Source organism: Homo sapiens, chromosome 9, assembly GCF_000001405.40.
Source record: "Homo sapiens chromosome 9, GRCh38.p14 Primary Assembly".
Classification (NCBI taxonomy): domain Eukaryota; kingdom Metazoa; phylum Chordata; class Mammalia; order Primates; family Hominidae; genus Homo; species Homo sapiens.
In genome coordinates this window covers 97011537-97029485 of record NC_000009.12, presented here as the reverse complement: position 1 = coordinate 97029485, position 17949 = coordinate 97011537, and the positions used below count along the sequence as shown (strand labels likewise).

At 44.0% G+C, this 17949-nt stretch overlaps 1 pseudogene across 3 annotated transcripts in view, besides 3 other annotated features; it reads left to right on the top strand.

Moving 5' to 3' along the window:
* Positions 15857-15956: a silencer, noted in NCBI's record as "silent region_20096". NCBI's record gives its function as "represses an Ori minimal core promoter by ATAC-STARR-seq in GM12878 lymphoblastoid cells {active_cell/tissue: GM12878}" and the evidence as "EXISTENCE:reporter gene assay evidence [ECO:0000049][PMID:35858748]".
* The window catches only part of SLC71A3P (solute carrier family 71 member 3, pseudogene), a 70693-nt pseudogene continuing 68624 nt past the window's right edge, over positions 15881-17949 (top strand). For all 3 annotated transcript variants that reach the window (NR_172875.1, NR_172876.1, NR_172874.1), the window contains exon 1: positions 15881-16227. The product of NR_172875.1 is annotated as a solute carrier family 71 member 3, pseudogene, transcript variant 2 (transcript). The remainder of the gene's footprint in view (positions 16228-17949) is intronic.
* Positions 15997-16056: a silencer, noted in NCBI's record as "silent region_20095". NCBI's record gives its function as "represses an Ori minimal core promoter by ATAC-STARR-seq in GM12878 lymphoblastoid cells {active_cell/tissue: GM12878}" and the evidence as "EXISTENCE:reporter gene assay evidence [ECO:0000049][PMID:35858748]".
* Positions 16717-16856: a silencer, noted in NCBI's record as "silent region_20094". NCBI's record gives its function as "represses an Ori minimal core promoter by ATAC-STARR-seq in GM12878 lymphoblastoid cells {active_cell/tissue: GM12878}" and the evidence as "EXISTENCE:reporter gene assay evidence [ECO:0000049][PMID:35858748]".

The following is a 17949-nucleotide window of genomic DNA, read 5'->3' as shown; positions in this document are numbered from 1 at the left end:
TTTTGTGTATGTATTGTAAAATACTGTATGCTTACAGTAAGCTAGAGGAAAAAATGTCATTAAGAAAATCATGGCCAGGCACGGTGGCTCACACTTGTAATCCCAGTGCTTTGAGAGGCCGAGGCAGGCAGATCACGAGGTCATGAGATCAAGACCATCCTGCCTAACATGGTGAAACCCCATCTCTAATAAAAATACAAAAACAAAATTAGCCGGGCGTTGTGGCCGACACCTGTATTCGCAGCTACTCAGGAGACTGAGGCGGGAGAATGGCGTGAACCCGGGAGGCGGAGCTTGCGGTGAGCCAAGATCGCGCCACTGCACTCCAGCCTGGGCAACAGAGCGAGACTCCGTCTCAAAAAAAAAAAAAAGGCAATCACAAGGAAGATAAATTATATTTACTAAGTGAAAGTAGATCATCATAAAGGTCTTTATCGCTGTTGTCTTCACATTGAATAGGCTGAGGAGGAGGAGTAAGAAGCAGGGTTGGAGTTGCTGTCTTGGGTTGCAAAGGCGGAAGAAAATCTGTGTATAAGTAAGTGGACCGTCAGTTCAAACCCATGTTGTTCAAGGATCTACTATTTATTGGGCTCCTATGCAATAGCACTGTGCTAGGCTCTGGGGACACGAGTGAAGCAAATAGTCACACTCCCTCCCTTGCTTACATCCTTATGTTGCTGAGCCCATGCATAACCTCTATTCTTGCCACCATGGCCACTTCGTTCGTGAACCCCAGGGTGGCTGGGGAAAGAGGCTGACTGGTATCCAGAGAAAGGTCATCCTATTCACTCAGTTATTAAAATCCTCCTCTGCTGAGGTCACCCTTTTGTGAGAATTCACATGGGATACAAATATCTTCACTTGTTTTTTGTTTTTTTTTTTTACCCATTCAGAGATATCTGTTCAGATAGGCGTTCCCCAGACCCCTTTATCACCAATTTGCCAATCATGTTCATTACAAGTCTGTGGTCACCCAGCCAAATCATTAACCGTAGCCCATAGAATGGTATATAATCATACGCCTGGCTATTTCTTCTTCCAAGCAAAATGAACAACCAAGTACACTGCTGAAAGTTTTGTTTCCCTTCACCTCTGTTCTTGAAGGATGTCTCAGAAACGTGCTGTAATCCCGCAGCATCCATTGGTTGGTGCCTGGATATTGTACAGAACCATCTATAAATCAGGCCCAAGTTTTCTCTTCCTCACCCAGTTGATGATAGGGAACTCTGAGGACATAGGTGTGGGCTGGGAAAGAAAACATGATGTAGCAGGAGTTAGGACTGTCAGTGTTGGGACCACTTCTTCCTGTAACTTACCTGTGCCTTCAGGGCCTCCTCATGCCCCATCACACATACAGTCATCCCTTGATATCCATGGGGGATTGGTTCCACAACCCCCTGCAGATACCAAAATCCACAGATGCTCAAGTTCCTCATATAAAATGGTGTAGTATTTACATATAACTTACATACATCCTCCCTTATACTTTAGATTCCTTATGATACCTAGCAACATTGTAAATGTTATGTAAGTAGTTGTTATACTGTATTTTTTTTTTTTAGGGAATAATGACAAGATAAAGAAGTCTGTACATGTTCAGCACAGACTATCCTTTTAAAAAAAAAAAAAAAAAATTGGGCTGTGCGCAGTGGCTCACGCCTGTAATCCCAGCACTTTGGGAGGCCAAGGCGGGCAGATCATGAGGTCAGAGATTGAGACCATTCTGGCTCGCACAGTGAAACCCCATCTCTACTAAAAATACAAAAAATTAGCCGGGTGTGGTGGTGGGCACCTGTAGTCCCAGCTACTCGGGAAGCTGAGGCAGGAGAATGGTGTGAACCCGGGAGGTGGAGCTTGCAGTGACCTGAGATCGCGCCACTGCACTCCAACATGGGCGACAGAGCGAGATTCCGTCTCCAAAAAAAAAAGAAAAAATTTCTACCCGAGGTTGGTTGCATCCCACACAGTTTGAACTGTAAGGACTCACAGATGCAAAGGCAGGAGCTCAGCTTCACTCACAGCAGGATTCCTAGTGCCAAGAACACCATAGGTGCATAGCAGGTGATCAAAATAATTGTATGTGGCTGAATCAGTGAGAGGTAAGAGAGAGGACTTGATCCTAGCTGCAAACTAAGAGACCTCATTAAAACCTAACATGTGGCTGGGTGTGGTGGCTCACGCCTGTAAGCCCAGCACTTTGGGAGGCCGAGGGGTGGATCACCTGAGGTCAGGAGTTCGAGACAAGCCTGGCCAACATGGTGAAAACCCATCCCTACTAAATATACAAAAAATTGGCTGGGCATGGTGGCGGGTGCCTGTAATCCCAGCTACTTGGGAGGCTGAGGCAGGAGAAACACTTGAACCCAGGAGGCGGAGGTTGCAGTGAGCCGAGATTGCACCACTATACTCCAGCCTGGCAATAAGAGCAAAAGTCCGTCTCAAAACAAAAAACAAAAAAACAAAAAACACCTAACATGTGAGGCCCAGCATAGTGGCTCAGACCTGTAATCCCAGGATTCTGGGAGGCTGAGGCTGGAAGATTGCTTGAGCCCAGGAGTTCAAGACCAACCTGGGCAACATAGCGAGACCCTGTCTCTGGGAAAAAAAAAAATTACCTGGGTATAGTTACAGTCCTAGCTACTTGGGTGGTGTATGTGTGTGTATGTATGTGTATGATATCAGAAAAAAATAACGTATTCATGGTGGGGGAAAAAAGAGCCTGACTTTTGAGGTGTATAAGCATGGAGTCGGGTTCAAATCAGGCTCTGATCTTTCTGGCTCTGTGATATGGGGCAGGGCATATTACCAAGCTCAGCCTCAGCATCTCTACCTGTGAAATGGGCTTGATTCAGTATCTACCACACAGGGCTGCTGTAGTATGTATGAATTAATGTTTGTGAAATATTTAGCATGGTGCCCGACACATGGTACTCAGTAAGAAACAACTATTGCTATTAAGTGCTTTGCACTTTGGTTTTCACAGAGCTAACAATTTTTACTGTCTAGCTTTGTGTCTTTGAAAGATTTTTGAGCTCTGAGAATGACCTTTTAAGACCTCAGCACTTCTGGAAGAGGTCACACTTCGAGCTTCAATAGCTAGCATTTTTGTCAATTAGTTAACAGTGTGCTGAAAGCAAGTCCCTGTAGAGAGTGTTCACGGGCATGAGCCACAGGGAATACAATGTGAGGCCTGTGGAGGTGGCAGCTGAGGATGTCAACAGGGAAAGCACAGAGTACCAAAGACAAAAGTTGCCCAGGACAGTTCTGTGTTAGCTACCTGGTGGCAGCCTGGACACGCAAAGATAGAGCTGAAGACACCTCTAATACAAGAGGCGGATGCCCCGGAGACGTGGCTGATTCCTTGGCTAATTTCCTCAGCCCCACCGTTGTGCAGCTTTGTGACTTCCTGGAGAGCCTACATGCAAACAGAAAGGTCCCAGGATAAAGAAATGTGGATATTCCACATATTTTAAAAAGACCTGGAGGGATGAAGAGGACAAGCTGTCCCAGTAGGCCCCGGACTGCCCTGGTTTTAACACTAAATGTCCGACATCCTGATAACCCTTACTCCCAGGCAAATCAGGCCAGTTGGTCATCTAATTGGAGGTTATCAAAGGAGGTGGGTTTTAGCATCCTCTTTCCTTTCCTGTTACATTGAGACCATGGGGTGCTATTGAATAAACTTGATTCGGTTTCTTCAAAAAAAGCCAGAAATTGATCTAATAGGTTTTGCTCATATTTGGTAATTGAATTGGACTGTATACAGTCTGCACGTTTACCTTATTTTCCATTATGTAATGGTACCAAATATCACAATGATTTTCAAAAATTAATGTTTTTAGTGGTGGATTACTAGGTGTTGAAATTCTTTATAATATACTTACGAAAACATTTATACAAATAATTTCATCCTCCACATGACATTTAGAAAAGTTTAGTCTGGCTGGGTACAGTGGCTCACTCCTGTAATCCCAGCACTTTGGGAGGCCAAGGCAGGTGGATCACCTTAGGTTAGGAGTTCGAGACCAGCCTGGCCAACATGGTGAAACCCCGTCTCTACTAAAAATACAAAAATTAGCCCGGTGTGGTGGCGTACACATGTAGTCCTAGCTACTTGGGAGGCTGAGGCAGCAGAATCACTTGAATCTGGGAGGCAGAGGTTGCAGTGACCCAAGATCACGCCACTGCATTCCAGCCCAGGAGACAGGGTGAGACTCTGTTTCAAAAAGAAAGAAAAGAGAAGAGAAAAGATGAAAAGGAAATGTTTAGTTTGAAATTCCGTTACCGAAAGTTCTCGGGGGTTGGGGGAGGTGGGAGGCAATATCTTTTTGCTATTATATTTCTTATAGTGCAGTGTCAGTGAAACTATGTCATCCTTTGTAAAATCAATAAAATCCCTGTCAATTTATCTGGCCATTCGATACTTTATCATCTATAATTTTTCAAGACATCTATTTGGTTGAAGTGTCTTCATCAATTGATGGACTGTACATCAGTCTGGTTTGGCAGTTTACATTGTATTTTCCTCTGAGTTTATCTTCTCTGTTTCATGGACTTCACTAGGGTCAGTGGTTCTTAAGTTGGATGATAAGAAACCCCAATCTTCCATACAGGGTACAGTTTGGCCATTGGTTTTAACTCAGGTCATGGCATAGCAGTTGCATTTCTATGGAAACAAAGCTAACCTTGGAAATGGACTCTAATCAAAGACTCACTAACATCAAACAAGTCATAACCACATTAAGTAATGTCTTAAAGGCAAAAATCAATAGTAATTCACTTTGAGCATTTAAAGAGTCAGGCTCTCAGTCACTGTCTTTGAGATTATGAGAGCATAGTAGAAAACAGCTTGTCCAACTGCCTTATTTAATAGATGAGCTCATAGAAATGAAGTAACTCAGTCGAAGTGACATTGGTTTTCATGGCTAAACACAGGAACTGGAAAATAATGGGAGTATTGTTAGAGATTACAATAATATTGAAATTTGACTTCAAGCTAATGAGTCAAGTATGAAGATATTAACTTCACAAACTCGATAGCAAACATGTCCTAAGAGATAAGACAATTTTATTTAGCACTATCTTTTTTGTAAAAGATTTATAATAAGAATAAAGAAAACAAAGTTTGTATGCTAAGAGAACAATGCAATACTTCCATAATTTCTTGAACAACTGTAGTGAAGCCAGAGTATCCCAAGCTTCCCCAGCCTGAAACAGTCTACCACATGAATGTGAGGCTGTAGCCTCACACCTCCGAGCACCTCCTCACCATCCACATCTGCTCATACCGGTGTTTAGTCCCTACCTGAGTGTCACCTCGTCTTGTCCACGAGGACAAGCCCAGTGGACTCAAGTGCAAGTCCATCTGTATTCTTGGGCCTCTCTCTCATGATGGTGGCTTTCACTGTGATGCTTCCATGCCCTTTGAGCCCTGAGTGCAAGGCCAAGGTGCCCCCACAGCTTCCTAGTTGCTGCTGAGTTCCCCACCCCCTAGATGGGAGGTATGCACCTCCCATTCTGGGTCTCAATAGATCACCTGGGCCCTGGTCCTCTGAAAGCCTATTGAATACAAGTAAGTAACACAAGGCTGTTTTGTTCATTACCCCTGTAATTCAAGAAATCCAATTTGCGAGACAGAATTGACCTGAGGCCAAAAACTCCAGGGTCATTCTGCCCCAACTTGAATCCTGGCACCACTTACTGCTATATGATCTCAGATGCCATAACTAATCTCTCTAATTCTATTTCCCTGCATTTAAAATGCAGGCAATGCCCATGGTTTGCCCTAATGACTCAATGACTCTGTATTAAAGGGCTTACTATTGGCCTGTCATGTCTCAATAAATGTGTTACTGTTCTTTCTCTGTGTTGACACTGGATGTACAATTGCAAATAAAACACACACTTGTCTTGGGGATGCTTGCAGTCTAGTGGGCCAGTTGGATTTATTTCAGTTCAACTATTGGTTAACAGATGAACAATAAAAAGTATTGCTTGTAAAAAAGATGAACGTCCAGAAAGAAAGAGTCTGTCTGGTATACAAATAATTGTGATAAATACAACAAAAAAATGTGCACAGGGTAAAAAGTAACAGGGAGAGTGACCAGGAAACTTTAAAATTATAGTAATGTGATCCAGGCTACATTCACTGGCATTTCCCAAACACTCTCCACAGGGGAACCAGGATGGGATCAACCCTAAGACCTTCTCACTCATCCAACTAAAGGCAGTGAGGAATGGGAACAGACAGAAAGGGATGGTTTAAGCCAACACTCAAAGTGTTAAAATCAAACCAGTGGAAAAGGATCAGCTGACCAGGCTGAAGGGAGAGGTAAACTAACCAAATGAGGTACCACATTGCTCAGCGAGTCAACAGCAAAAAGACAAGGGTCTCGGCTGTGGCTTCCACTGGAGTTTGGAGGTACGGAATTTTCCTCCTATGCAGTGGCCTTCAGTGTTGTGCTTGTCGATCCTTAAAAGAATGTTGATCAGGTGCGGTGGCTCGTCCCTTAAACCCCAGCACTTGGGGAGGCCAAGGCAGGAGAATCCTTGAGGCCAGGAGTTTGAGACCAGACTGAGCAACATAGTGAAACCAACCTTGGCTCTACAATGACAACAACAACAACAACAACAAACTAGCTGGGCATGGTGGTGCACGCCTGTAGTCTCAGTTACTCTGGAGGCTGAGCTGGGAAGATTGCTTGAGCCCAGGAATTTGAGGCTGCAGTGAAGTATGATCATGTCACTGTACTCCAGCCTGGGTGATAGAGTGAGACCCTGTCTCCTAAGGAAAAAAAAATGTTAATAAACTGTTTAACGTCCCCCCCCCTACACTTTTAAGTTGACATTTACATTTATCATTAGTTTGTGATAAAGAATGTATTTTCCAGGATATTGTAGACTGGCTTTCAGTATATTTTTGTCAGACTTTTGAGGCCAATTTGGCTCTTTTGCTTAATGGAAAATGGGAGTGTTTAGGTCTCAGGGTGTGCTCATGAGCAGGCTGGGATGGGTGGGAGGCTTTGGTGAAGTGGCAGAAGGGTGATTGGACTGGGAAGAAAAGAGGAACTTGCAAAACAGAGACACTTCAGGGAGCAGGTTAGCTGTAGGAAAGAGTACACACCTAGGACGAGGGCCTGGAAATTGGTCATCTAAAAGCTATCCATGGCCACGTAACCCCTGAAAAGTCTTTCCATATTACAAGGGGTATACATACCCCAGTTTGAACACCAACGCTTAAGTTCTCTCAAGTTCACAGTATATGCCAGGATTGAGTGAATTAAAAAGTACAGCATCAGGGTAAACAATGATAGTGCTAGGCAAAATTACTCAAAACGTGGAAACAAAGTAAAGAGATTCCACTTCCATCAATGTCATGCTATAAGACGATTGTCTGACAAACCCATCCAAGGGTCTTCTGACTCTCAAAGGGTTTTGACTATTTATTTTTGACATTATTACTGATAGGCTCAGATATTTTACAGCCCTGTAAAGTTAGAAATTATCTCCTAAGAAACTGATGAGTTGGTTTTCTTTTCCATGGTGGAAAAATGAGATCACCCCAACTGCTACAGTTTAATTGCCCAATAGGACATTAACTAGGGCTGCATCTAATGTGCCAATATTAATTCATCCTTCCATTTTGTTCACATTGACTGTAATAATCCTCGTCTTTCAAATTCTCTTTTGAACCGACTTTATGGGTTCCCTTATTACCGAGATAAATAAAATGTTGGCATGTGCTCACTATCTCTTTGGATAAGATTATGTTTTTTGTTTGTTTGTTTGTTTTTGTTTTTTGAGACGGAGTCTTGCTCTGTCGCCTGGCTGGAGTGCAATGGCGCAATCTTGGCTCATGCAACCTCTGCCTCCCGGGTTCGAGCAATTCTCCTGCCTCAGCCTCCTGAGTAGCTGGGATTACAGGCACCCACCACCAGGCCCAGCTAATTTTTGTATTTTAGTAGAGACGAGGTTTCTCCATTTTGGCCAGGCTGGTCTCGAACCCCTGACCTCAAGTGATCCACCCGCCTTGGCCTCCCAAAGTACTGGGATTACAGGCGTGAGCCACTGTGCCCGGCAAGATTATGTGTTTTTTTGTTTTTTGCTTGTTTTTTGTTTTTTTTTTTAAACATTCAGAGAACTATATGTTGACAGAAATCTAAACAAAGTGTACAGAAGGTGCAAGGAAAGGTTTTGCAATATGGAAAGGAAACTTGGGGAAAACCTGGTGGAGACCATACCTGAGCTGAGTCTTAACAGGAATTAGAATACCTATAAACAGGAATTAGATAAATGGCTGGAGGAGAAGGAGAAAGAGGCTATTTCAGACTGAGGGAGCCTGACAGATGATGGGAGCCCAATGATATGGGTGTAGAAAAATGCCAGGAGATAAGGCTGACAGGTGGGGAGAGGCCAGAGCCTGAGGCATTCATGTCATGCTAACGCACCAGAGCCTTTTCCTTCATGAAAACGGGATATCTTGAAGAATTTTTAGCAAGAACGTGATGTAGTAAGATAGATTTGTATTTTAGAAAGAACATTTTTTTCCCCAAACTTTTAGGTTCAGGGGTACATGTGCAGGTTTGTTATATAGGTAACCTAGTGTCATGGGGGTTTGTTGTACAGATTATTTTGTCGCCCAGGTACTAAGCCTAGTACCCAATAGTTATTTTTTTGAATCCTCTCCCTCCTCCCACCCTCCACCCTCAAGTAGTCCCCACTGTCTGTTGTTCGCCTATTTGTGTCATTGAGTTCTTATCAATTAGCTCCCACCTATAAGTGAGAACATGTGGTATTTGGTTTTCTGTTCCTGTGCTAGTTTGCTAAGGATAATAGCCTTCAGCTCCATGAGTGATCCAGCAAAATATATCATCTCATTCTTTTCTATGGCTGCATACTATTCCATGGCATGTATGTACCACATTTTCTTTATCCAATCTGTCATTGATGGGCATTTAGGTTGATTCCATGTCTTTGCTATTGTGACTAGTGCTGCAGTGAACATTCACATGCATGTGTCTGTATGATAGAATGATTTATATTCCTCTGGGTAATATACTCAGAGATGGGACTGCTACGTTGAATGATAGTTCTGTTTTTAGCTCTTCGAGTAATCGTCACAGTGCTTTCCACAATGGTTTGCACTAATTTACACTCCCGCCAACAGTGTAAAAGCATTCCCTTCTCTCTGCAACCTTGTCAGAATCTGTTATTTTTTGACTTTTTAATAATAGCCATCCTGACTGGTGTGAGATGGTATCTCATTGTGGTTTTGATTTGCATTTCTCTAATGATAAGTGATATTGAGCTTTTTTTCATATGTTCATTGGCCACATGTATGTTTTCTTTTGAAAAGTGTCTGCTCATGTCCTTTGCCTACTTTTTAATGGGGTTGGCTTTTTTTTCTTGTTGATTTGTTTAAGTTCCTTATATTAATAGAGCCTGGATGTGAGACTTTTGTCAGATGCATAGTTTGCAAAAACTTTCTCCCATTTTGTAGGCTGTTTACTCTGTTGACAGTTTCTTAACTATGTAGAAGCTCCTACATTTAATTAGATCCCATTTGTCAATTTTTGCTTTTGTTACAATTGCTTTTGGTGAGAAAGACTAATTTTGTGTGAAGAGTACATGCATAAGTGGAAGTGAACCCAAAGATGTACAGCAAACTGCTGAGAAATGGGAAGGGTATGAACTAAGGCAGTAAGCAGGCACAGAACAATCTGACATATAAAATAAATAGGGCACAACAGTTGCTTTGATGGAGTGGTGAAAGAGATAGGAGGTGAGAAAGGGCATAAGCAAGATTTGATCATTGACTATGCGAGGGTGACAAGGAAAAAGAGGGGCTGACCTACATTAGCAATTCCTGCTTCTGGCATAGAGATGGTATCACTTCTGTTGCGAAGACTACAGGGACAGCAGGCAGCAGGCTGTATATATTTCTAGCATGTGAAACGGAAGTAGGGCAAGGAAAAAAGTCCTTACGTTCCTACTTTTTACATGGTTCACACACATTGTAGAATAAACCCTTTGCCTGGGTCACGTAAAATTCTACCTTTTTATTATTATTATTATACTTTAAGTTCTAGGGTACATGAGCACAGCGTGCAGGTTTGTTACATAGGTATACATGTGCCATGTTGGTTTGCTGCACCCATTAACTCATCATGTACATCAGGTATTTCTCCTAATGCTATCCCTCCCCCTGCCCCCCAACCCACAACAGGCCCCCATGTGTGATGTTTCCTGCCCTGTGTCAAGGTTTTCTGTCCTTGTGATAGTCTGCTCAGAATGATGGTTTCCAGCTTCATCCATGTCCCTACAAAGGACATGAACTCATCCTTTTTTATGGCTGCATAATATTCCATGGTGTATATGTGCCACATTCTCTTAATCCAGTATATCATTGATGGACATTTGGGTTGGTTCCAAGTTTTTGCTATTGTGAATAGTGCCACAATAAACATATGTGTGCATGTGTCTTTATAGTAGCATGATTTATAATCCTTTGAGTATATACCCAGTAATGGGATCATTGGGCCAAATGGTATTTCTAGTTCTAGATCCTCGAGGAATTGCCACACTGTCTTCTACAATGGTTGAACTAGTTTACACTACCAACAGTGTAAAAGCGTTCCTATTTCTCCACATCCTCTCCAGCACCTGTTGTTTCCTGACTTTTTAATGATCGCCATTCTAACTAAAATTCCACCCTTTGTATAAAACATTTGCCCGGTCCATTTGACTCTGAATCACCTTGGTATGTATAATTACCAAATATACTTTTTTTCCAGATGGCAATTCACATCTGCCTTTTAGCTTAGTGCTGAAGGCAAATAATTGAGGAGGTTCAGTAAGGATAGTTCTCCATTAAAAAAAAAAAGAAAAAAAAAGAGAAAAAAAAGCACCAACCTAACTGAATACTCTCAAATAGGACTGATAATGCATTGCAAATACTGAAAACAAGTTTTGATTAGAACATTATCTTAAACTAAAATCTGTTGCCAGTCGCAGTGGCTTACCCTTGTAATCCCACCACTTTGGGAGGCCAAGGCGAGCAGATCACCTGAGTTCAGGAGTTCGAGACCAGCCTGGCCAACATGGTGAAACCCCATCTCTACTAAAAATACAAAAGTTAGCAGGGCGTGGTGGTGGGCACCTGTGATCCCAGCTACTCAGGAGGCTGAGGCATGAGAATTGCTTGAACCTGGGAGGCGGAGGTTGCAGTGAGCTGAGATTGTGCCACTATACTCTAGAGTGACAGAGCGAGACACCGTCTGAAAAAACAAAAAAAATATCTGGGTGTGGTAGTATGTGCCTGTGATCCAGCTACTTGGGAGGCTGAGACAGGAGAATCGCTTGAGCCCGGGAGGCGGAGGTTGCAGTGAGCCAAAATTGCACCACTGCGCTCCAGTCTGGGCGACAGAGCAAGAATCCATCTCAAAAAAAAAAAAAAAAATTATCTGGGTGTGGTTGTATGCACCTGTAATCCCAGCTACTTGGGAAGCTGAGACAGGAGAATCGCTTGAGCCTGGGAGGCAGAGGTTGCAGTGAGCCAAAATTGCACCACTGCACCCCACACTCCAGCCTGGGTGAGAGAGCGATATTGCGTCTCAAAGAAAAAAAAATCTGTGAAAATAAGTTTATCTTAACACATTGTTATAATTGCAGTTACAAAGTAGTGCTCGGAACAAACAAAATTAAGTGAAGTGTGTTTTAAACATTTAGACAATTATCGTAGGACAGTTTGTTATCCTTTCACACAGGGAACAGTAGATGGGTGGAGAAACAGAGCAACAAAGATACCATGTGAAGGTATTGCTTTATACACCTTGGCTTGGATCTGGGCTCTGGATTTCCTTCCCAGCAGACAACTGCCAGTACAAGGAGACTCACAGACATTATTGAACAACCCAATTGCATCATACTTTAAAAAAGATTCAAATTATATATAAAAAGTGATGAATTCAATACCACTTACCCCTTTCTGTTGATTACAAATTGACCACACAAGGGAATATTTAGGGTCTTGTGGCAGTAGATGCATAACTACCTATTTCTCTTGAAGTCCTGGTCTCAAGTGATCCTCCCACCTCGACCTCCCAAAGTGCTGGGATTACAGGCCTGAGCCACTGCACCTGGCCCATCCATTTGTCAAAATCCACAGAACAATACACTGCAGAGAGTTAACTTTATGCAAATTAATGTGGGATCTTAGGATAGAATGGCCGGCATGACAAATGAACTTAATTATATTACAAAGGTATGGCATAACCTCACCAAAGTGAGTGGGGAAAAAATAAATTGAGTAAATAAATAAATAAAATTTTGATTGATTACTCAATCAAAAAAGAATTGATTTGAGTAAACAAGAAAGAAATTGAATTGATTTGGAAAACTGTTTTGACTGGCTACTTTCAGGATAAAAACAAAAAGAACCGTACATAAACACTATAGTTGGAAAACTTGCTTCCACGGAGTTAGAAATTCTGAAACTACATGTATTGTTAACACACACATAAGTAGAGAGAGAGAGAGCACAGCACCCAGATCCATATCATTGCTGGGAGAATTAGGTGCTGCCCATAGACTCTACTCAGAAAGGACAACTGGAAGCTTGTGCGTGGTCTCTCGTGGACTCTGCTGCCTCTTACCTTTGCTATTTTCATCTGTATCCTTTCACTATAATAAACTAACTATGAGTAAAATAGCTTTTTGGGGTTCTTCTAGTGAATCATTAAACCAGAGGATAGTCTTGGGGATTAAAGACTCTCAGTTATTAGATACCCTATTTTAGCATTATGTTTAACCCAATCTTAAAATCCAGCTTTAAGACCAGATGATTAATTTATTTAAAGCGAAAAATCTCAACAAAAGTATTAAATAGAAATCAGCAAGGCTAGGCACGGTGGCTCATGCCTATAATTCCAGTACTTTAGGAGGCTGAGGTAGGAAGATTGCTTGAGCCCAGGAGTTGGAGAACAGGCTGGGCAACACAGTGAGACACTGTCTCTACCAAAAATTAAAAAGGTAGCCAGGCATGGTTTTATGCACCTGTGGTCCCAGCTACCCAGGAGGCTGAGGTGGGAGGATCACTTGAGCCCAGGAGGTCAAGGCTGCAGTGAGCTGTGATCGCGTCACTGAACTCCAGCCTAGGCGACAGAGCAAGACTCTGTATCAAAAAAAAAAACAAAAAGATCAGCAAATTGTTTGAATTTCTCCTCTTAGGAAAAAGAACTGTATTAGAATATATTACTCTGATATAGCTGATATGGCAATATCAACCATCAAAGATATAATGGTATACTTATCTGGTATAATTTATAAGTTTGCCTCAGTAGAATCACAGCCTATTCCATAGTTAAAAATATACACTGCTAGTATTATAGCAAACTTTAGTGGCTTTTGTGATAAAGAAAATAAACTTCAAAAAACTCCATTATTCCCTCTAGGATAACTTTATTGTAAGTCTATTTAAGAAAACAGTCCAGGCTGGGCATGGTGGCTCACCCAGCACTTTGGGATGTTGAGGCAGGCGGATCACTTGAGGTCAGGAGTTGGAGACCAGCCCAGCCAACATGGTGAAACCCTGTCTCTACTAAAAATACAAAAATTGGCTGGGTGTGGTGGCAGGTGCCTGTAGTCCCAGCTACTCAGGAGGCTGAGGCACCACAATCGTTTGAACTGGGGAGGCAGAGGTTGCAGTGAGCTGAGATAGCGCCACTGTACTCCAGACTGGGCAACAGAGCGAGACTGTCTCAAAACAAAACAAACAGTCTACAAAATTTTCTGTTTCATGGATACAGGAATCAGAAACTGATACCCAAGCTCATAAGTGGCATAAACATAATACTCAAACAGCATAACATAATACATATATTCCCTTTGTGTTTTGAAAACTATTTGTTAAAACAATCATTCAGAAAAGTAGACAAATCAGGCTGGGTGTAGTGGCTCAGGCCTGTAATCCCAGCACTATGGGAGGTCGAGGCGGGTGGATCACCTGAGATCAGGAATTCAAGAACAGCCTGGCCAACATGGTGAACTTGTCTCTACCAAACATACAGAAGATAGCCAGGTCGTGGCATGCACCTGTAATCCCAGCTACTCGAGAGTCTGAGGCAGGAGAATTGCTTGAACCCAGGAGGCACAGGTTGCAGTGAGCCGAGATCCAGCCACTGATCTAGGCTGGGCGACAAAAGCGAAATTTCGTCTCAAAAAAAAAAAAAAAAAAAAGACCAGGCCGGCTTGGTGAGCCGAGGGGGGCGGATCACTTGAAGTCAGTAGTTCAAGACCAGCCCAGCCAACATGGTGAAACCCCGTCTCTACTAAAAATACAAAAATTAGCCGGGCATGGTGACGCGCACCTGTAATCCCAGCTACTCCGCAGGCTCAGGCAGGAGAGTCGCTTGAATGCGGGAGGTAGAGGTTGCAGTGAACCTAGATCACGCCACTGATCTAGGCTGGGTGACTGTAGCTTGGGTGACAGAGCAAGACTCTGTCTCAAAAATAAATAAATAAATAAATAAATAAAAGTAAAGACTTCTGCAAAGTGTGTGTGTGTGTCTGTGTGTGTGTGTGTGTGTGTGTGTGTGTGTTTGGGGGTGGTGGGTGGGAAGCGAAAAAGAAGCTTTTTTTTTTTTTTTGGAGACGAAGTCTCACTCTTGTCACCCAGGGTGGAGTGCAGTGCACCATCTCGGCTCACTGCAACCTCCGCCTCCTGGGTTCAAGCGATTCTCTTGCCTCAGCCTCCCAAGTAGCTGGGATTACAGGCATCCGCCACCATGCCCGGCTAACTTCTGTATTTTTAGTAGAGACGGGGTTTCACCATGTTGGCCAGGCTGGTCTGGAACTCTTGACCTCAGGCGATCCGCCCACCTCTGCCTGCCAAAGTCCTGGGATTACAGGCGTGAGCCACCACGCCCAACCTGAAAAAATTCTTAAATGAAATGACTTTAATTCAATTAAAATTACTAATCCTGTTAATAGAAATAATTTTATTCTTTTTTCTATTGATGTTTGTAAAAAGTTTTTTTTTTTTTTTTTTTTTTTTGTGAGACAGAGCCTCACTCTGTCGCCCAGGATGGAGTGCAGTGACGCTATCTCGGCTCACTGCAACCTCCGGCTCCCAGGTTCAAGCTATTCTCCTGCCTCAGCCTCCCGAGTAGCTTGGATTACAGGCGTGCGCCACCAAGCCCGGCTAATTTTTTTGGTGTTTTTTGTTTTTGTTTTTGTTTTTTAGTAGAGACAGGGTTTCACCGCGTTGGCCAGGCTGGTCTCTAACTCCTGACCTCAGGTGAACCAGCCGCCTCGGCCTCCCAAAGTGCTGGGATTATACGTGTGGGCCACCGCGCCAGGCCTGTAGGCTTTTTTATATTTCAGTATTAGGTGCATATCTTTCAAAATAAATAAACATAAAAAGCCAGGCTTTTCCAACTGTGTCCTACACATTCTGCAAGATATTAATCATGTGTCAAGAATAAAAAGTGTTGTGTTCAAGTACGTTTGGGAAACATTGCTATTATATTATTTTCTTCTTGGAGAACCATAGAAAAACTTGAGAGGTTGGCGGGTTGGAGCAAACCAAGACCAAAACTGAACTGCAATCACTACCAAACCCCCACGAGTTTGCCCCTCCTCGCTTGCTAGCCTCAGTCCAGATTCTCCGGAAAAAGAAATTAGTCGTACGGGCTCTCGAAATGACGTACTTCCCGCGCGCCGCGAAGTCCTGATGCCAAGGGGCCAGTCGCGAGGTAAAGGAGGGGTCTCTGAAGTGGGCGTGGCGTCGCTGGAGGCTACTCAGGCGCGGGACTCGTTCTCGAGGCGGGAGCTGAGGTGCGGGGTGGGGCCTCCAACCGTGCAGCCCGCCCCTGACGCCGCCGGTAACTGCGACAGTCGGGGTCGGTGCGGTTTGCTAAGTGGTCGGTTCCTGGAGCTGCGGTCTTCTGCTAGCCTGATCCGCAGCTTCAGCCTCCGCCGCCTCCTCAGCCCTCGGCGCCGCCGCCTGACCCGCAGGCCGCCGCGGGCCGCAGAGCCCATGAGGGCGCGGGCACCGCCGCCGCCTCCGCGGCGTCGCCGTCGTCCCGGAGCGCCCCGAGCTGGCGCGGGCATGGCCGCGGCATGAGCGTGGAGCCGCCGCCGGAGCTGGAGGAGAAGGCGGCGTCGGAGCCCGAGGCGGGAGCCATGCCGGAGAAGCGCGCGGGCGCGCAGGCCGCGGGGAGCACCTGGGTGAGCGCGGGCGCGGGGCCCGGCGGCCTGAATGCCGGGGAGGCTGGGTGGGGTCGCACCCAGGGCCCGCGAGCCCGCCGCTCCGGGCAGGGGCTTCGGCTCTTGGAAAGTCGGTCCTTTTCTGGGGGGGAGGCGAATTCATCACGAATACAGGTTTTTCCTAGTGACTGCTCATCGCAGACAAAACTTTACAGGATTTGGTTATTGTTTCAAAAGGCGCTAGACATGGGACAGTGAATATAAGTAGTAATTTGGTTATTTCGGAGTTCTCCGTCCCTGTAACAGTTGATAACAGTTTTCCTGGCGCAGTTTCTCTCCAAGTCTACATGGAAAACAGGGAGCATTTGAATCAGACCGTCGACGGGGAAGTTGGCGGCAGATGCCGGGCAGCGCCTTGCTGCTCCTTCCGTGTTCTCCCGGCGTCGGAGGGGCGGTCCTAGCGATGGGGAGCAGAGTTTCCAGGGGCGTTGCTGGGGACCAGCCGAGGAGCAAGTTAGGCTGGCCTCTTTCTCCAGTTTTACTTTTGCTTGAGGTGGAGATGGCTTCTGACAATAATACAGAAGCAATTGAGCCCTGACTTAACTGGCCTGGTTTCGGCAGAACAGGCCTTGTCTGTGTCAGTGGTTTCATGTGGTGGAATATTAAGCCTAGAGGGTTTGTCGTTTCTTCAAGGCCTAAGTTTAAAAAGGATTTTTTTTTTTTGGTCTTAGGACCTGAAATATAGGGAATGTTACAGTGAATAGAAACTGACACAATGGGAAAGTTTTTCCAAAGAAAAGTAGAAATTTTATGGAAATTAAATACATGTTTTTGGCTTTAGATTTTTAGCTTACATATCTGATTTTGTGTTTAGTTGAAGAATGCTAAGTGTTTACATGAACGTATTTGGGGATGTAAATCCCTATTAGTAGGTTGGGAGGGCAGCTGAAGCAGAAGGAGCAGTAGGTAGAACGGATCCGGCAGAGCTGGTTTTTAGTCCTGGTTTTGCCTGAACAGTGCGCACTCTGGACAGGGTATTGAAACAGCCTTGCCCCTCAGTGCCTCCTCTGTAAAATGAGGACTTAGTTGAAGTCCCCTCCCAGCCCAAGTGACTCCCTATTTTGAAAAGCATTTCAAAGTTAAGATCTCTGTAATATGAGAAGCTTATCTTGTCGAGGGAGAGAAATTCTGTATAATTGCTTGCTCTCATTTTGATTCGCGTTAAGTAGACTTGTCCTCTTCCTGCTTGCTACACAAAACTAAAGCACCAGTTCCTCCTCCTGTCTCATGAATTGATGGACAGTAATTACTAACCAGTGGCCCAGCTAGTAACCTGCGAGGTAGCTTCCTTCATCCCTTCCCATACTTAAAACAATCAGAAAGTCTAGCTAAGTTTATTAGATACAGATTTTAGGTTTTTATCCTCTCCTATGCATTCTTATGCTCAGAATTTCCTCAGCATTTTTGACCCAGACTTTGACTATCTCTTTCAAGACCCTTGTTCACCCCAGCGTCAGTCCACCTTGCACGTGGCTGAGTAGTGTGTTCTAGCATGTAAAGATGATCATTACTGCTGTCCTTAATTTTTTTCATTGGCTCCTTATGGCTTACAGAATAAAAAATAAATTGGCAGGTTGAAGCATTATTAGTATAGTGATTAGACGAGCATGCTTGAAATCCCAGTTTCCACAGTTCGATAAGTTAACGTAACTCCTGATTAATAATGGCATTTACCTCAGAGGG